This window comes from Homo sapiens, chromosome 8 (assembly GCF_000001405.40).
Source record: "Homo sapiens chromosome 8, GRCh38.p14 Primary Assembly".
Taxonomy (NCBI): domain Eukaryota; kingdom Metazoa; phylum Chordata; class Mammalia; order Primates; family Hominidae; genus Homo; species Homo sapiens.
In genome coordinates, this window is record NC_000008.11 from 70253976 (window position 1) to 70275524 (window position 21549).

The 21549-nt window shown below is 37.4% G+C and overlaps 1 protein-coding gene and 1 pseudogene across 41 annotated transcripts in view; one reads left to right on the top strand and one right to left on the bottom strand.

Annotated features, from left to right (window-relative positions):
• Positions 1 to 21549, bottom strand: part of NCOA2 (nuclear receptor coactivator 2) — a 346665-nt gene that overhangs the window by 144194 nt on the left and 180922 nt on the right. For 5 of the 41 annotated variants that reach the window (XM_047421233.1, XM_047421249.1, XM_047421241.1 and 2 more), the window contains one exon: positions 2463 to 2582. The exons of the other annotated variants lie outside the window; for them this stretch is intronic. The gene's annotated coding sequence lies outside the window, so the exon portion shown is untranslated. The remainder of the gene's footprint in view (positions 1 to 2462; positions 2583 to 21549) is intronic. 41 annotated transcript variants of the gene reach the window in all.
• On the top strand, positions 19288 to 20193 carry BTF3P12 (basic transcription factor 3 pseudogene 12; annotated as a pseudogene).

The following is a 21549-nucleotide window of genomic DNA, read 5'->3' on the forward strand; positions in this document are numbered from 1 at the left end:
AACTGCAAACCGTATATTTGATAAGGGATTGACATCCAGAATATATGAAGAACTCCTACAACTCAATAGCAAAAAACAAGGAATCTGATTTAAAAACTGGCAAAGGACTTGAATACACATTTCTCCAAAGACGACACACAAATGGGCAAATAAGCACATGGAAATATGCTCAACATCACTAATCATTAGGGAAATGCAAATAAGAAGCACAATAAGATACTACCTCACACCCATAAGGATCGCTACTATCAAAAATATAGAAAATAATAAGTGTTGGTGAGGATGCAGAAAAACTAGAACCCTTGTGCATTACTGATGGCATGTAAAATGGCACAGCCACTGTGGAAAACAAAAATTTTTCAAAAAACATGATCCTGCAATTCCACTTCTGGGTATGTATCCAAAAGAACTGAAAGCAGGGACTTGAATAGATGTAAGAACACATGTTCATAGCCGCATTATTCACAATAGCCAAAAGGTGAAAGCAACTCAAGTGTCCATTGACAGACGAATAAACAAAATGTGGTACACAATACAGTATTATTCAGCCATGAAAAAGAAATTTTAACACCAGCTACAACATAAACGAACCTTGAAGATTATGCTAAGTGAAATAAGCCAGTCACAAAAAGACAAAGATTGTATGATTCCTCTTACATGAGGTAGTCAAATCTTTAAGTAGCTACAGCAATTAGAATGGTGGTTACCAGGGGCGGGCGGGGGTGGGGGCAGGTAGGAATGGGGAGTTAAGAGTTTAATGGGTAGAGTGTTTAACGGGTAAAGGAAGATGAAAAAATTGTGAAGATGGATGTTGTTGATAGCTGTATAACAGTGTGAATACACTTAATGCCACAGAACTATACATTTAAGAATGGTTAAAAGGGTCAATTTTATGTATATTTTATCATACTTTTTTGAAAAGTCTAATATAAATATTTCTTTACTTAGCAAATGTAAAAAGTGCCTCTCAAATTTTTGCTTATACTTTCAACATTCTAACTCAATGAAAGAGTATTCTTTGTCAGCTGCCAAATTAGGAAAGACTTTGATTCACAAGAAGGAAAACAAAATAAAATTTAAAAAATACTTTTATACCTCAATGGTTAAACTGAGGATTACCTCTGACCCATAAGGAGAGAAGCCAAGTGGCAACAGACACATGACCATTCCTTAAGGAAAGAGATCTCTGGTCTGTTCTACAATGATTGGAACCCCCGAGTCTGTCACAACCACCTGTTGTGTGCCCAAGGTTTCAAGCAACTCATGTTAATTTGTCAGTAGTTTGGTAAGTGAAATTACCCAAGAATTTAAAAGTATTTTTTGCCAAACTTAAAAAACAGGAGATCAGAATCATGTATCAACTAAACAAGAGAAACTCACAAAAAGTGTAGAAAAGTATAGGTAATTTTATTTCAGAAATGAAAGAATAATAATTTAGATCCACGCTTTAAGCAAGCCATGAAAAGCATACATAGGTAATTCTATATAACCCAAGCTAACCGATAATTCCCAGTTTATTTATATTTTACTGTGTAATACAGTAATATGTACATACCAATTCAAAGACAAAAATACACAGACACAAAATGTGACTTTGAATCTCTCAAGGGTGAGCCCTATCGTGGAATCTATCACGTTCGGCACATACACAACACATATGCTGTGGTTACCTCCTCTCCCCTCACACAGCAGACATTGCCAATTAAATCACTTTTAAGCCTGTATGTGGCCTCTCAATTCTCCTCAACACAGCACTCCACACAATCACTATAATCAATAGGAACTGGCACCAGAGATTGAAGCATGCTTGCCACCCCAGCACCAAGGTGAGAGTCGGGGGCAGATTAGGCATAACGATGAATCACACACAAAGAAGATCCAGTAGAACCTCTGCTAATGGAAAGAAGATCTACACACAACAGCTTTTCCAACAGCAGCTTGCTACATGAATGGAAGCTGAATCTGCTGACTTGAAGCTGCTACCTTTCCTTCCTAAGTCTGTTTTGGATGTGAATAAAGATTCAGCCAAGTCCTCAGTGATGTAATAAGCTCTGTGGTTCTTTACATACAGAAACCTTTTACCCTTGACAGAATTAACGAACTGAGAGACACATTTAAGGATATGTTCTTATAGTTTTGTTACTGCTACTACAGAAAACCTTCCCTAGCAAGAGGGGAAGGTTTCCAGATTGGCCAGCCACTCACCACCTGTCCCTCTCATTTTGCTGCTTCCTCCCAGGTTTCTACTCAAACTACATTCCTAACCATTCCTAGAGACCAGCTGACAGAACGGGAGGCAAGGAAATGGAGGCAGATTTGCAAGTGACAAAAACATTTTTCAGAGACAAGCTCTCAACCAGGCTGCCATTGCTAGTAGTAAGTGAATCTTGACAAGAACAGGGACTAAAGGACAGATTTTACAGTGCTGCTGCATGGAAGATTTGGGACCACAGCTGCCTTACCCAGTCAGGTCAAACCATGAAGAAGCAGTAGTATTGTTTTTGTTGTTTCATTATATTTTCCAACATAAACATGGCCGACTTCATTGTAAAGGTGCCCCATTCTTTATACCATTTGACAGACTGAAGAGAAAGAAAAAAGCAATAAAGGCATACTATTTTATTATTTTTTAAATCAAACACTTTTAGTGCTTACCATATGCCAAATATTGGTCTAAGCTTTTTATTAATATTCACATCCATTTTTTTCAGAGTACCATGGAGCTGGTACTGTTATGTCTCCCAATTTACACATGAGGAAACTGTGGCACAGAAAAGTCAAGTAAAGCTAAAGTAAATGGGTTAGGATTGGAATTCATGCAGTCTGGTTCCAGAGTCTGTGCTCTCAATCACAATACAAAAACAGAGGGCACCTGTGCCTACTGTCTCATTGGTTCCTCCAAATCTCATGAGATTGGTTTCATCCTCCCCTTTTAGAGATGAAAAAACAGTGAAGTGAAGTAAATTACTCAAGGTTACAGAGTAGAAAGACTGCAAAACACCAGTTATTTACTGGGCACAAACAATGTGCCAGCCACTCTGATAGGCGTCATCTTCTAATCCTCAACAGCCCTATGACAGAGGTACTAGTTTAGTCCACTTTACAGCTGAAGAAAATAGGGCTCAGAGAGAGGTCTGGTAGTTTAATTGGGGCCAAATTAGTAAGAACAGAAGAAATTTAAACTCACACCAGTTGAGTCCCAAATCCTTGGTTTTTCCCTTCTGATGCTGCTATAAATAAAACTTCATATATCAGTTACAATACATAGGGTTACAAAGATGATTCAGTTCCATTTAAGAAGCTTACAGTATATTGAAGGAGAAAGGTCAGTTATTCAAATCACTATAATTGCCATACATTTATTCAGGAACCATTCCTTGGGGTCCTTCCTAAATGTAGGGCACTGTTCTAGGCACTGCATATAGCAGCAAACCAATCAGATAAGTATCTTTGCCCTCCTGACCTAACAATCTAGAGACAGACAATAAACAAGATAAATAAGGAAAAGACATAGTATGTAAGATGATGATAAGCACTAAGGAGAAAGAGCAGCAGGCAGGAGGATTAGAGAAGAGGGCAGGAGGTGGACATCTGAGATGGGGCCGTCGGGGCCTCCCCTGTGCTTTGCTAAACTAAGGCAGCACGCCTCACATCGCTACTGCCAAAACCACCCCCGCCCCTTTCCAAATGCCATAGGGTCACTGGCCCTTGAGAACCACACAGAGACTATAGTTTCCTGCCATTCTCTGAAGTCTTGTACAACTTGGCCTCTACCAGAAAACTTTTTCCCTGTTGTCCCTTGGCTTCAATGACACTGGCAGTATCTTGCTTCTCCCTTCCTACCTCCCTGATCTGTCTTGGATCTGCGTCTCCCTGTCACTGAGCCCCACCTCCGCAACAACAGCAAAAAAAAAAAAAGAAAGATGAGCATGTCTTTTTTCTTTTCTTTTTTCTTTTTTTGAGACTCTGTCTCGCTCTGTCACCCAGGCTGGAGTACAGTGGCACAATTTCAGCTCACTGTAACCTCCGCCTTCTAGGCTCAAGTGACCCTCCCACCTCAGTCTCCCCAGTAGCTGGGATCAGAGGCACACCACCATGCTCGGCTAATTTTTTATATTTTTTGTACAGATAGGATTTCATCATGTTGCCCAGGCTGGTCTTTAACTCATGAGCTCAAGTGATCCGCCAGCCTCGGCCTCCCAAAGTGCTGGGATTACAGGTGTGAACCACCTGTAATGCCCAATGGGCATTTCTTGAATAACATCCTTGCCCTTTCTTCTCACTACAAAGCTGCTCCTTGAAATCTTGTCTGCTGATGCAGTATCAAAGATCATATTCATGTAAATGAGACCCAATTTTCATTTGTAGCTTCAGGATATCACCTTAGCTACTACCGTGCCCAACTTTCAAGCTCTCATAAACGTATCTCCCTAAATGTACCCAAAATTGAACTCCTCACCTTTCTGAGGAAGTTTTTCTTTATCTGCTATTTTTTTTTCCCCAGGAGAGGGGAGATAGGAAATCTGTATCTGCTACTTTTCATAAGTCACCAGCAAATATTTTTAACTCCTTTTTTCTCTCAATCTTCAAATCCAATCAATTTCCAAGACCTTTAGATTCTACTTTTGCAGTTTCTCTTCATCACATCACCTTCTTTCCAATCCCTCTACAATTATCAAGATTTCTTTCTCTTCAGTAACCCCACCACCAATAACTTCTTCTCATGCCAGGTCTCTCCCTTACTCAATCTATCCTATAATTAGCACCAAGTTATTAGGTTACAATTCCCTCATGTGTAACATGGAGATAGAAATTACTGTACAGTACTGATTTGAGGATTAAACATGATTATATTAACCATCTAACATAGTTCTTAACATATAGTAGGAACTCAATAAATGTCACTTCTCTTTTTCTTACTCTCTGTGAAATCAAAACAGTGACCTGGCATTCAGGGGCCTCTGCAATCTACCCAGTTCCCTAGCTCTGTCCATCAAATATTCCCCTAGCTGTATGGTGCACGTTCCAACCAAACTCATACTGTGTGCAGTATTCTTTGACTTGGCCTGGCATTTTTATGCAGACAGATCACTGCTCATGCTTTCCATCCTTACATTTTGAGTGACCTTTCCTTCCATCTTCCGCCTAAGTCTTACTGACCCTCAAAGGTTTATTATCTCAATAGCTGCTGCCTCAGAAGGCCTTTCTTAAGTGCTTCATACAAGTGAGACCTTCCCCTCTCTCTCAATCCCCTGAAACCAATGGACTACGCTGACAGAGCCTTTTGGTCAGTCTATAAATATGTGCCTGTATCAGGAAATAAGGACAAAAAAGTAGAAAACTATTCATGTTATATCATGGTTATTACTGTCTATGTACTTATTTTGCCCTAAGTATATTATAAACATGAAATAGACCAGCATAGTGATTCTATTACTCATCTTCGTATTCCCTACAGGACTTATTATGATACCTTGGTACATAATGTAAACTTAAATTTGATGGTAGTCACAATTATTTTGTTATACTTCAATAACATTTTATTCCAGAGAATCATAAAGGGTTTCATAGAGAAAAATAATTATTACTAAAAGACATGGAAGAGAAATTACTATTATTTGTAAAATGTTAGATGAAGAAATATATATAGAGCAATTATGTACGTAAAACTTTACCATGATTTAAATATATAAAACTAGAAATAGAATTTAGAGTCTTAGACACTTAACCTCAAACTTCAGTTGAAAAAATATTATCAAAGCAATGATTAAATAAAAATAAGAATCACTCAATAAAACCTCAATCCTTATACTAAATGTTATTACAAACTTCTGTGTTTTGTTATTAAGAGAGCTCTCGCACATAAAAGTCTTATAACTGGGAATCACTATGCCATATGTAAACAGAAATTAAAATGGCTGAATAAAGAACAAATTCACTGTACTGAGTCCCTGATTCGGTGTTAAACACAAGGGTTATTAGCCAGCAGGATGAGTCAAATACAAAGTGTAAAGAAAATCTGACAACAAGACAACTCCTCTAACTCATCCCTTCCTGGTCAACACCACTACCAGGAAACAAAGTTACAACCATAACCCTCCTTAACAAAGTTAAAGCAAAATCAAATAAAGATCCATTTTCCAGTAGCTTAGATGCTGTCAATGTATGAATATATGCTTAGACAATGGAAGTGAGTTTCTGTGTTTTGCTTTGTTTTTTTGAGACAGGGTCTCGGTCTGTCGCCCAGGCTGGAGAACAGTGGTGTTATCACAGCTCACCGCAGCCTCGACCTCCTGGGTTCAAGTGATCTCCCAACCCAGCTAATTTTTAAATTTTTTGTAGAGACAAGGTTTCACCACGTTGCCCAAGCTAATCTCGATCTCCTGGCCTCAAGCAATCCACCCGCCTCAGCCTCCCAAAGTGCTGGGAGGCACCATGGCATGAGGCACCACGTCTGGCTGGAAATGAGTCTTTAACATCTCAAATGTATTATTTCTTGGCCTGAAACTTCCAAATGAATTTTAACTCTAAACCAACAAGGTAGAGTCTAATGAGGATGAAGGGTCTATCTACATGTGGGGCTAAGGTAGGCACATACCTAACCATTTGCTTTAAACATTATAATGAACAAATTAACTGTTCAACTTCTAGTGTTAACTATCACAAGCACAATTATACAGTCAATTTAAAATTACTGAATAGTACACTAACATCCATGTTCTACTCTTAAAGATACTAAGGCTGTCAATTTGTTTTCCTTAAAAGCAGGAACAGTAACACTTATTTTAAAGGGAATCTATTCCTTAAAAAATGGACTGTCTGAACAGACACTTCTCAAAAGAAGACATTTATGCAGCCAAAAAACACATGAAAAAATGCTCACCATCACTGGCCATCAGAGAAATGCAAATCAAAACCACAATGAGATACCATCTCACACCAGTTAGAATGGCAATCATTAAAAAGTCAGGAAACAACAGGTGCTGGAGAGGATGTGGAGAAATAGGAACACTTTCACACTGTTGCTGGGACTGTAAACTAGTTCAACCATTGTGGAAGTCAGTGTGGCGATTCCTCAGGGATCTAGAACAGGAAATACCATTTGACCCAGCCATCCCATTACTGGGCATATACCCAAAGGATTATAAATCATGCTGCTATAAAGACACATGTACACATATGTTTATTGCGGCACTATTCTCAATAGCAAAGACTTGGAACCAACCCAAATGTCCAACAATGATAGATTGGATTAAGAAAATGTGGCACATATACACCATGGAATACTATGCAGCCATAAAAATGATGAGTTCATGTCCTTTGTAGGGACATGGATGAAATTGGAAATCATCATTCTCAGTAAACTATCGCAGGAACAAAAGGCCAAACACCGCATATTCTCACTCACAGGTGGGAATTGAACAATGAGAACACATGGACACAGGAAGGGGAACATCACACTCTGTGGGGTGGGGGGAGGCGGGAGGGATAGCATTAGGAGATATACCTAATGCTAAATGACGAGTTAATGGGTGCAGCACACCAGCATGGCACATGTATACATATGTAAGTAACCTGCACATTGCGCACATGTACCCTAAAACTTAAAGTATAATAATAATAATAATAATAAATGGACTGTCAAGTAAAAGTTTCTAGCTAAAAAATGATTAACAACTAAAACATTTACAAAACGCTTACCAAAAAAGGGAATAATCACAATAATTACTGAAACATAAACTAGTGAGTGAACAAAGCAGACATTTTACTGGGAAATGCCACACCACCCGAGCCCCTATTATAGGTGATAGTAAAGATAAAACAGCGTATTACATAAAAGGTGACTCTTCAAAGCTAACCCTCTCCCTTGCTTATATGACGATATGCTTTTATAGAAAAAAATTTTAAAAAGTACAAAATGGTAGGCATGCTCCAGATGAGGGGGGAAAAGTGGATACAGCAAACAGCGAATATGATGGCCAACCACTGCAGATAAATCTAAGTCTTCATTTAGGAAAACATGTAAAATAAGTTAAAAATTTAAAACTTCAGTATATATAGAAGATATTATAAAATAATTATAATATAAAAAATTAGCAAGCACCTCACACTCTAATACCATCTCAATATCAAAGCTTCAAATTAATTTTGAGACCAGCGAATATTTATTGAGTGCTTATTAAGTGCTAAGCCTAATGGTAAACACTTTATATATATCTCCTTTAACAACATCCCTATGAAGCAGATATTTATAGTATCCCCCATTTTATAGTAACTGTCAGAGCTTGATTTCAAACCCAGAGTCTCACTTGGTTCTTTTAACTGTTATCATATTTACTGTACTAACTTTCATATAATTTTAATGATTAAGCACATGCACAGGATAATCAACATGTCCAGTCCTCTGGTCCTACAGGAGTTACCATATGGATTTTTAAAACTTACACACCTTAAAGTACCTTTACAAAGAGGAGAGAAGATGGGAAAGTTGAATCAGGGTTACTCTTAATTGCAGTTCCTTGAATCATAGCCCAAATACGAGCTTGGCTGGTACTGCTGCGGGAAAGATTCAAAGGCAAAATCAAGCACCCATGCTGCCAGGCAAGGCCAGGTCTCTCAACAAGTGGAATACCAACTTTTAAACAGGTTGGACATTTAATAGAGGAAGGACAATGGGGCCAGTGGACACAAATGCTAAAAAAACAGTGGCAGTCAATGTGGGAGGAGGCAAGAAGGCCTGAGAAGGCTGCTATAATTTCAGCCTTGATGCAATAGAGATTGTATTTCTTTTATCTTTAGGGAAGTGAAGTACAGTAGTCCCCCTCATCCTCGAGTGGATGCCTGAAACCACAGATACTACTGAACTGTATATACACCGGTTTTTCCTATGCACAGATACCTATAAAGTTTAACTTATAAATTAGACACAGTAAGAGATTAACAACAATAGTTAATAATAAAATAGAATTATAACAATATACTGTTTACAATTTCAGATAGAAAATTCATTATTACTACAGATTTTGGCAACCTCAGCCTATGATTGTTTTTGTCAATAACTTTCACTTTTTCACTTAAAGGAAGCACTTTACAGCTTCTCTTCAGAGTATCCAAATTGCCAGCATCAATACTCTTGTGCCTTGGGGCCATTATTAAGTCAAATAAGGGTCACTGGAACACTAGCACTGCGATACCTAGACAGTGGACCTGATAACCAAGCCGGCTACTAGATGACTGATGGGTGGGTGGCACATAGAGTGTGGAGATGAGGGACAAAGGGAGGATTCCCCTCCTGGGCAGGACAGAACAGGATGGCGGGAAATTTCATCACAATGCCCAGAACCGTATGCAATTTAAAACTCATGGATTATTTCTGGAATATTCCATGCAATAAATTTGGGCCACAGTTGACCGCAGATAACTGAAACCACGTATAAGGGTGCACAACTGTAGTGACCAAACAGATTACTCCGTTTCATGTAAGTGGTATGATCCTTTTTCCAAAAAAGGTCATCTTTTTCACCAAAGTTGATCTGATATAGAGTTCTATCATATTAACAGAGCTAGTTAACCAAGGGTTAAAAATTCCACCTGAAGTATTTGGAATACACATCAATATCTGTAAGTCAATATAAAAAACATCACCGGGAAGCTGAGGCAGGAGAATGGCGTGAACCCGGGAGGCGGAGCTTGCAGTGAGCCGAGATCGCGCCACTGCACTCCAGCCTGGGCGGCAGAGTGAGACTCCATCTCAAAAAAAAAACAAACAAACAAAATCACCCTACAGTTAAATGGGCAAAATATATTAACAGGCAATTCAGAAGAAGGAATCAGAATGGCCACTGTGCACTGTGTAATCTCAACAGTAATCAGAAAACGCATAATGAAACTGAATAGTGAAATACCATTTCATACCCCTCATGTTATTAAAAATTAAGTCTTAAAAAAAACAGTGGGCCAGGCGTGGTGGCTCATGCCTATAATCCCAGCACTTTGGGAAGCCAAGGCGGGCATATCACTTGAGATTGGGAGTTTGAGACCAGCCCGACCAACATGGAGAAATCTCTTCTCTACTAAAAATACAAAATTAGCCAGACGTGGTGGCTTCTGCCTGTAATCCCAGCTACTTGGGAGGCTGAGGCAGGAGAATCACTTGAACCCGGGAGGCAGAGGATGCGGTGAGCCGAGATCACGCCATTGCACTCATCCAGCCTGGGCAACAAGAGTGAAACTCTGTCTCAAAAAAAAAAAAGGGGGATTGACTGAGTGCAGTGGCTCATGCTTCTAACCCCGCCACTTTGGGAGGCTGAGGCAGGAGGATCGCCTGAGGCCAAGAGTTTCAGACCAGTCTGGGCAATATAATAAAATAATTAGCTGAACATGGTAGTACACACCTGTAGAATCAGCTCCTTGGGAGGCTGAGGTGGGTGGATCCCCTGATCCCAGGAGTTAGAGGCTGCAGAGAGGTGTGATAGTGCCACTGCATTCCAGCCTGGGCAACAGAATGAGACTCCATCTCTTAACAACAACAACAACAACAAAGTCTTATACCAAATGTCAACCTATATACTTCAGGCTCCAATGTAAATTGGAATAAATTGAAAATATTTAATGAAGCTAAAAATCACATACAACCCAGTCTAGGGATATTACCCTCATAGGTAATACTCTAAAGAAACTGTCATATCTATGTAAGGTATCATGAACAAAAATGTTCACTGCCGGAATACTTGAAATTGGAAAAAATTAGAAACAACCTAAATGCAGATCAAGAGAAAAACTGATAAATTGTATATGTTCACAAAATGGAATACTGCACAACATTTGACTGACTTGCAACTACATAGATATTATCACCAAAAAAAAACCCATAATGTTATAGGAAAAAAAGAAGTTGCAGAATAATATGAATAGTATACTATTTAACTGAGCTTTAAAACCTAAAAAAATACTAAATATTATAAACAAATACACAAAGAGTAAACTTTTTTTTAAATGGGTATAATACACAATAAATTCTGGATAGCACTTACCTCTAAGAAAAGAAGAGAATGATATAAATAATCCAAAAAGGGCTTAAAATTACATGTATGGACTCAACGTCTATGGGGCACAATATTCATAAATTGAAGTCCTGACCCCTAATGTGATAGTATTTGGAGGTGAGGTCTTTAGGGAGTAATTATGTTTAGAGGAGGTCATGAGAATGGGATCCTTATGATGGAATTAGTGTCCATGTAAGAGACCAGAGACTTCCCCTTCTCTCTTTCTTTCTCTCCCTGCCATGTGAGGATGCAGCAAGAAGGCCACCATGTGTAAGACAGGAAGAGAGCTCTCACTGGGATCCATGCTGGCACCATGATCTTAGACTCCCTGCCTCCGGAACTGTGAGAAATGAATGTCTGTTGTTTCAGTCACCTAGTCTATGGTATTTTGTTATGACAGCACGAGCTGAAACAGTTAAGTGTTATATTTTTCAACAGGTAAAACATAACAAAAAACTAAAATCCAGATTAAGTGAATGACATAGCATGGCAGTTCTCAATTAGAACACACTAATAAGACACTAGTTCTCAGAGAACAACTTTAAGACTATTATCCTATATATAATTCTATTTTTTAAAAAAATACTGACTTCCTCTTCTTCAAAACAATCAGTAATCAGGTTCTGACAAATCTTTTTGATGTCAGAGACACTCAGTCCATTTGGAATGCCATCCCTACTGTTCTGAACCAACGCATAGCCTCTCTCACTAGTCTTTTCACCTCTGATCTATTTTCTCTCCAATTTCCAAATTCACCCTGTGTACCAAGAGCAAACCAGAAACTTCAGTTTTTTGTTGTTGTTGTTGTTGTTGTTTTGTTTGTTTTTTTAAAGAGACAGAGTCGGCTGGGCGTGGTGGCTCACGCCTGTAATCCCAGCACTTTGGGAGGCTGAGGGATCACGAGATCAAGAATTTGAGACCAGCCTGGCCAATATGGTGTAACCCCGTCTCTAATACAAAAATCTCTAAAAATACAAAAATTAGCTGGGCGTGGTGGTGCATGCCTGTAGGCCCAGCTGCTCAGGAGGCTGAGGCAGGAGAATTGCTTGAACCCAGGAGGCAGAGGTTGCAGTGAGCCGAAATCGCGCTACTGCACTCCAGCCTGGGTGACAGAGTGAGACTCCGTCTCAAAAACAAAAACAAAAACAAACAAACAAAAAGAGATGGAGTCTTGTTCTGTCACCGAGGTGGGAGTACAGTGGCACGATCACAGTTTATTGCAGCCTCAAACTCCTGGGCTCAAGTGATCCTCCTACCTTAGCCACCTGAGTAGGCGGGACTACAGGTGCAGGCCACCATGCCCAGCTTCAAGGGCAAATCAATCTACATAAAATGTTACTTTGGTAATGTCACTTGTTAGCTCCTGGAATTTAACTCTTTGACAGCAGCCATTGCTGAACAATACAATGAAAACTCCTTAATCTAGCATGTAAAGGTCTTTAAGCCTGGCTCAAAGCGGTTATTTCTAACTGTACCTTCCATTACTCTATATAAATGGCTCCCTCTAGCCAAACTGCTCTATTCAAAGCCCTGCATGGGCTTTGCTCCTTCTCACCTCTTCTTTGGTCATCCTGTGTCTCCTGTTTGGAATGCCATCCTCTCTAACACCACCTTTCTCACAGTATCTAAATTTTAGTTGTCTTCTAAGACCTTGCCACACAAGTCTTATCTAATCCATAAATGCCTCCCTAACCAATACACTCTAATTTAGACTCATTCATTCAATCAATCAATATTTATTGGATGCCTAGCATGTGACAGGAGACACAGTTCTAGGGGCACTCACAGAATGCCTATATATATACTACGCATGAATTAAATACTGTTTTGCTCTTTTTGTTAATGTATATGTCAACCTCAACTACATTATGTGCTTCTTAAAGACAAGGAGTTCATTTATTCCACAGGGCAATAACGTAGTACTTTGTGTTTAGGGTTCAACATTCTCTGGCTAAATGAATTTTGAAATAAGTTATAATCTTCTAATTTTTTGACCCAAAATAATCAATGCCTATCCTTGGAACTTTGAACAATTACAGCATTTTCTTGTGATGTATATATACATCTATACAAGAACAATGGACTTGGAGTCAGAAGGTCTGTGTGAAACCTGGGCTCCACTGTGCACCACCTCTGGCCATATTACTTTCTCTGTACATTAATCTCCATAAAATGAGAATATTTACACCTACCTGTGAAGATGTTCATGACTATGAGGCATAAGTAAATTAGAAAAAGACGTATTTTATTGTGCTAGAAGCATGCCTCGCACTCATTCATGAATCCAACAAACTTTTACTAGGTTATTTTCAACAGATGCCAATATCCTCATTTCCCACCAGAAGAGCTAATAAAGATCTGTTTCCTTTCTGTTTTTTTTTTTTTTTTTTTTCCTTTGAGATAGGGCCTCGCTCTGTCACCCAGGCGGAGTACAGTGACAATCACAGCTCACCGCAGGCCTCAATCTCCCAGACTCAGGTGATCCTCCTGCCTCAGCCTCCCAAGAAGCTGGGACTACTGGCATACGTCACCATGCCCGGCTAATTTTTTATTTTTTATTTTTTATTTTTTTGTAGAGATGGGGTTTCGCCATGTTACCCAGGTTGGAAGATCCATTTCCTTTCTGCTAGGTGATGGAAATGCTGTCTTTGACTAGTAAGTGAAAGAAAGGAATACCTACAGAAATATTCAAATATTCAATTAAAATATTTGAATTACATATTAAATAATCTCAAGGCCATAAAATTCTATTTTTAAAATGTCTTTATTCTATTTATCACATAAGGCACAAACGTTAGGTATTTATAACCTTGCTAAAAGCACCAATGAAAATGGGATTTGGAAAAGAATAGAGAAATTAACAAAATTGCTAATTATAATAAATATGATCAAGAAAACTTTGAATTCCTCTTTCACAAAATCGTTTTTCATATTTGACTTCCTATTTGAAGCAGGATATGTGGGAATTCATTATTGATCAACTAGCTAGCCTACCTGGTTTTTCAGAAGAATTATCAACCTCTGTTAGGAATCCCTGCTGCTCCTGCTGGATGCAGTTGCCCACAAGAGAAGCAGCTGCTTTTAAAATCAACTTTAGATTGACTACAATTTGGAGCCTACCCTTGGGACCTTCATTTGGAGCTCATTTTTTAAACCACAATTTGGTCTCTATCCTCATTGTCTTTATATACAAGGCTCATCTCTCTTAATCCACAGTGGCTCGAAATCTCTCATTATCTCTCTGTTTCAGCTACTTGAGAAGTCCACTGCCCATCTTTGACATCCACCCCAGAAAGATAATTTCAAGTAGACCATCTAGCTTACATTATAGGGCTCCTCATGTACCCTCTAAATTTAATGATACTCAATCTAGCCATTTTTACATGACATGGCAACAAACAGAAATTTGAACATTTACCATTCAGTTTACAGGCAAAATCTTACATTAGGTACAGTTTGACTATTTTTATTTGACTATTTTTCCCTTTATTTTTCTTTCTAAGTCACCTTTTCTATACCATAACATAAAATTTAGGTAATTACTATATAATGCTTAAGATTATAGGCTCTTGTGTGACACTAGTTCAAATCTGGGCTGCACTGGTTATTAGCTATGTTAACTTAAAAAAATTACTAATATTTTTAGGCCCCAAGAGCAAAAACCATCACTACTGCTTCACGGGTTTTTATTAATATTAAATGAGTTAGTACAAGTAAAACAGAAAAGCACCTAACATGAATTCTGTACAAATCCTGCATTTTTAACATGGAGTAACAGTAACACTAGTTACTGGAGTAATAAGCTATAAATATACTTTCAATGCTTAATAAGACTGAGCAAGTATCATTTTGGTTAGTAGGCTCTTTTGAGCTTGAAAAATTATAAACACAACTTTCCCAGTTGTCTCCGCAGCTAGTCTGTAAAGATAAATATTTATAGATTTTTCTCCCTCAAATTTATTATTTTAATACAGAAAGTGGTTACTAGAAAAAGCGTGGAAAGTAAGGAAAAGTGAAGGGGGGGAGGACATGCATATTTCCACTATATACACTATGTGATATATTTACTTCCAAGAATTTTATATCAAAAATGTAATTTTTTAAAATCAGTTATATAAAATTAAATCCTACCATTTCTACCTACCAGTACCATGGAAGTATTTTTCCTTGTTGGTTCAGCCTTTGACAATATAATTTTTAATAGCAGCATAATATTTCAAGTTGAATTCACATATTCTAAAGCAAACGTGGGCAGGACCTTCTTGTGACAACTGCAAGCATACTTGCCATAAAAGAATAGTGATGGAGGGCCTAGGTGCAGTGGCTCACACCTATAATCCCACTGCTTTGGGAGGCTAAGAGTTCAGGGGTTCAAATCTGGGATAAGGACCAGGAGTTCAAGACCAGCCTGGGCAACACGGTGAGACTCTATCTCTAAAAAAAATTTAATTTAAATTAAAAAAAGAAAAAAGAATGTCAGTCGGGATCCACAGTCATGGGAGTGCAAACTTTTTTCTACAGCACACACACTGGCATCTTTCTAGTGCTTAGTATAGTCAAAACAATGATGGTAGCACTAAGCTAATAAATACAGGAAGAAAAAATATGGAACAAAGTTGTGGCTTCAACTTAAATGTTAATTTTCATTAAGGAGCACTTCCAATTTTTCACTAAGACAAACTAACAACTTCAATCAATATACAAAATATACATGTTTGCATTCCGACTTAAGGCAAGTCAACCTAAATTCATCAACAGTAAGAAAAATTCATAGATGTGCCTATGTTGAAACTTAAATTTTCCATCTGGTAGCTTAAGGATACTTTAGGTTATCAGAGATTTTAAAAATACATATAACACACATTTACTGAAACCTAATTATGAATTTTGCCAGATTCAACACATACTACTTTAATTGACTAACGGCAACCAGTAAAAATGTTTCATTTATTTAAAAAATTACCAGCTTGGGCAACATAGACCTCAACTGTTAAAAATTAGCCAGGCTCATTTTTAAATTTTATCCTGGCGCATGCCTGTAGTCCCAGCTACTGGGGAGGCTGCGGTGGGAGAATCACTTGAGCCAGGGAGGTCGAGGCTGCAGTGAGCAGTGATCTCACCACTGCACTCCAGCCTGGGTGACACAGTGAGACCTTGTCTCAAAAAACAGGGAGAAAAAAAAAAAGAAGAAAAAAGAAAAGAGAACATTAGGGAAGCAGCATGATTTGATGAAAAGAGTCACTGAACTTGGAAGGCAAAAACTTGGATTCATGTCCCAGCATGGCCCTCAACTATGCAACAGCCGAAAAATTGTTTACTAACTCTAGGTCCTAACTTTAAAGTGTAGTCCTTCAATGATGTGATTCCTACTGTCTCTTCCAGCTCTAAAGTAAAGATGCTAAGAAATAAAGATGATAATGCTACCATTATCTGGCATGCAACTGACGGCCACGGGACAGGCGACTTATTGATGTACATCAAATCCTAAACCTGTAATTTTGTTCAGCAGTGTCCCAGACAGTGTGTGCTGTAGTCGGGGTGGCTGGCGGGGGTGGGGGGATAGCAGGTAGGCACAGTGGCCACTATAATCCCATTATTTGTTATATAAATGTATTGTTTTCTTTAAAAGTAAAAAACCATAAAAAAATTCTGCTTTAGTCTTTTCTGCTACCTTGGTTCCCTATCCCTTTAACAATAACAACAACCAGATTGAAATTAAATATTTGAGTTGCTCTCATTAAAGAAACTTCCATTTACTTTCCTGGTACACAAGGAAAACGATTTTGAAATCTGCCTAATCAACAGACATTAATATTGTCTGTTGAAATAAATATGTTTGCATAGTTATTTTAAAAACACCATATAAAATCATGCTTAAATTCATTTATTTTGAACACATACCTATGAGCAATTAGTCTAAATATAAAGAAAAAGATGATGAATTATATGAATTTTCAAAGCACATTAAATTAGCATTGAAATTCTATGAACATACTTTAGAATGCTAACTTTGTTAATTTTTTGTTTGTTTGTAATATGCAATAGAGGGGAAGATATATGTTGAAAATACATCTTGGCTCATTAAAAACGCAACACAGGCATATGCTCTTTTCAAACATCTTTTTAAACCAAGAAGGAGATCTTTGTTTGCCATCTTTCAAATAAACATTCATTTCTGGTCCTGATTCTAAGCAAGATACAGTATAGTAAATGACAGATTTGCTATGTCTTTGAGTTAACAAAAAATAAAAAACAAGGTAAGCACCAGAGTACTGTGGAACACACTGAGATTATTAGTATTAATTTTTACATATTTCAACTGACTAAATGTAGCTATAAAGGGTACCCTGACTGTAAATTTAAACTGCTATGTTTATGTGAAGACTGTGTAATAAGCAGTCATTATGCTCTTTTGTAATCTCTAATGGGAAAACTAAGAAGTTCTTCCTCCTTTAAAATTAAATGCCTTAATAAAGTAAGATTTTTAGGGGAAAAAACACTCAACTTTTTAAGTTGTAAATTACTGAAAGTTGCTCTCACTAGACTTGACTATTTAGAAACTACAGTGATTAAATGCTTTCCAGAGCTTACATGTTAGTGCTTTCAACATCAAATGTACAATGAGAAACATGTCAGCACTCTGCTCTGCGAAGCTTTGGCCTTCAGTCAGCAACAGTACAGGATGGCCAGGTCCTGCACGACTGAGATAGACAGAAACGCCTTAGCAAACCAGAGCCACCAGATCCATCATTTGCTTCTGACAGCTTGTGCCTACATACTTGCCCTCAACCCACATGTTTGCAAACACAACCTTCTACACATTAAACTAACAGGCTATTCCTTTGCTCCTGAATCACACAGGCTGCCTAATGAAGTTCCTAGCTAAATCTCTCCACTGAAATTACTTTCCATAGGAAAAACTGTACAGATATCCCAGTAAATTGAATAAAGAGATTGAAAAATTGTAGGAATTCTTCACACATGTGTAATTACCAAAGTAAAAGAAATATTTTAAAGTACGTATTTATTGTTGACTGATTTCCAACTTACAGAAATGTACATACAAACACTTGAAAAATAAAGCTTCAAAAGTACACACTTTTTTAGGATTTTGGAATGTGTTCAAACTTGGCAGAAACTGTGGGATCCTTGAAACATCAAGGTTTTTCACTTTTTCTTCTTCTTTTTTTAAACTGCCTGTAAACTTTCATCACCAGTATTCTGCTACAGGTATAGACATGGCTAAAATGCATTGATTCATCCTAGAAGGAGGGATGTTTACAGAAATTAAGCCAGATTCACTCAAAGCAAAGCACAGGCTTCAACATGAAACCCCTACCCCCACCTAAAAAACCTTCTCAGCAGTAACTATCTAACTTATCTACGTGTCTCCTCTACTCTTCCCTTAATTCTTCTGTGTCATGTTTCTGGTTATACTATCATGTGCTTCCAACTTTTTTTCCTTTGATAAGAGTAATTTTAAGAGGCTAATTTTTTTTTCTTACCCCACAGCAGTCTCTTAACTGATTGGTCTGAAATTCCTTTGCTCCACCTCCTAACATCTGTCACAAAAGTCAGATTATAAGTCAACCCAAAGGGGAGCAAGGGGTGTGCACGTAAGAGGGAACACCAGAAAAATGAAACACTAGTGGTTAGGGCATCACTAGAAACCATAATATAGTTTCTATTCTTTATTTGATACAATTGTACAAAAGGACACCATGTTAGATATAACATTAGGCTGAATGTTAATTTCCTAAATAAAAATTCTCTTTAAAGATGTAAAATAATAATCCCTTTATTATTCAATATGTAGAGATTTATTAAACACTTATAAAGTAATAATTTAATATTTACAGTGAAGAAAACTAACTTTCATCTTCATTTTTAAAGTAATCTCTAATACTATCAGAAATATTAACAGTGAAATACATTAATTACAAGCCAAATTATACATTGTATGTAGCTACTTAGGTATTTTACTAAGAAAATAACTTTATCTTTGATATTTCCTATTTTAAAAACTTATCTGTGAATTGATTTAATGATTGTGTATATAAATCTGCCAAAATTATTTCAATGGATGAAACAATGAATCAGTACCTATTTATATGCTGCCAAGGCACACCTATAATTTTTTAAATGATGATAAGAGTAGCCTAAAGCAGTGAGCAGACATCTCAGAAATTTCAGTGTAAGTGGTTTTAACTTGCAACATGATGCCAAAAAACTTAGAACAGGGAGCTGCCATCTTGCATCCCCGTGTGTGTGCACCTAATCTCAGCTGGTTCCCCCGAGACCCCCTGAGCACCAACCCTAGTCCCCCGCGCAGCCCCTTATCCGCTGCGACAAGATGAAAGAAACAATCATGAACCAGGAAAAACTCGCCAAACTGCAGGCAAAAGTGCCCATTGGTGGAACTGCTCACAGAAAGAAGGTGGTTCACAGAACAGCCACAGCAAATGATAAAAAACGTCAGTTCTCCTTAAAGAAGTTAGAAATCTCTGGCATTGAAGAGGTGAATATGTTTACAAACCAAGCAACAGTGATCCACTTTAACAACCCTAAAGCCCAGACATCTCTGGCAGTGAACACTTTCACCATTACAGGCTATACTGAGACAAAGCAGCTGACAGAAATGCTACCCAGAATCTTAAACCAGCTTGGTGCAGGCAGTCTGACTAGTTTAAGGACTGGCTGAAGCACTGTCCAAACAATCTGTGGGTGGAAAAGCACCACTTACTACTGGAGAGAATGATGATGATGAAGTTCCAGATCTTGTGGAGAATTTGGATGAGGCTTCCAAGAATGAGGCAAACTGAAGTGAGTCAACTTCAGTGACTCAACTTCTGAAGACAAAACTTGAAGAAGTTACTGGGAGCTGCTATTTTATATTATGACTGCTTTTTAAGAAATTTTTGTTTATGGGTCTGATAAAATCTAGATCTCTAATATTTTTAAGCTCAAGTCCCTTGGACACTACAGCTCTTTTCAGTTTTTGCTTATACGCAATTCATTCTTTGCAGCTAATTAAGCCGAAGAAGTCTGTGAATAAAGTTTGAAACAAAGGTTAACGAAGTTCTTTGCCTAGTATACAGTTTTATTCTTTATTTCATTGACACCGATCTGTACACAGTAAATCACAGTGTAGTGTAACACAGGTGGTATAAAGTTCTCATGTTTGGAAAAAAAAAAAAAAAAACCTTACATCAGGGACACATTTAACTAAAGCAACAAGAAAAACTTGTTTTTTGGTTAAAAGTGCTTGGTGGTTCTCTGATACATATGAGCACCTGAAAAATAATTCAGATCCATATCTACTCCATTAGGATACTGAAGTTTCCAAAGCCTACAGAGCTTCAGCTAATTGTAATTGCTGTGAAGGGCGAGAACCTACCATGTGCTCAATCTTGCCATCTGTAAGTGCTTTACACAACTCCAGGGCTTTTTAAGTAGGGTCAAAAATTTACAGTTATTTTTTTAAACTAATTACCAATCACAAAATTCTTTTGCTTTATGTCATCCTTGAAAAATTCTCTGAATAATTTTGGTAATATCCCATCATAAATTTGCTCAACATTAGCTCTATCCACAAATCTGTTTTACATTCATATTACAAATACAGTCTTTAATGATCAAGCAAATATTTATTCTCATATTTAGCAAAATGATTTTCTTCCAAAATAACTCCGAAAGATACTGCTTATAGAACACAGCAATTATTCTAAGACTCCTTTACAAAATCACTGGTGGCCTGCAACGCAACAATCCCATAAAATATGAACTGAAAAGTATTCATAATCAGGACCTCAATCTCATCGCTACTCGTGAACTCTGTTACCACTGAAGATGCTCGCTCACTCCACTGTCTCACCTCTTAGTGTCCACAACAGAAACACTGAGGCATCATCTCCCGTAATTAAGATTTCGGCTAGAGAAGTGGCACAGTAAGTTATACCATTTCCAGACCTAACAGATTTACACTACAATTAAATATATTAAAATTTCTGCACATAAAAAACTCATATATACCTAATCAAAAGGCATCTTTACCCAGCCAGTAGGTTCATCTGTAGTTCTGATTATTTTAAATGAGCAGATATTCCAAAAATCAAAATAAGTACAAATATGCCATCTTCTAAAATTCTCTAATTCTCAAGTTTTATTTCTCTCATTTAGAGTTATCAAACTTTACTTGCAAAACTGTATTCTTAATTAACCACAGGAAATTTCCAGTAAACTGAAATCATCACCATAAATTCAGTAGGTATAATGAGAAATCATCTAAGAGTAGAATATAGTCCTTAAAAAGAAATAAGTACTTATATATAGTTGTTCAGCTTATTAAAGAATTGTATTCTTAAAAATACTATATAAATCATGTAAATTTGAATTTTATTTTCAATATGTGAAGGAAATTTAATATTTAAAAGGAAACCTGCTGAGTTCTTTTTTAAAACTGAATAATCTTTAGCAATACAAATGATCAACTCCTACTTAAATT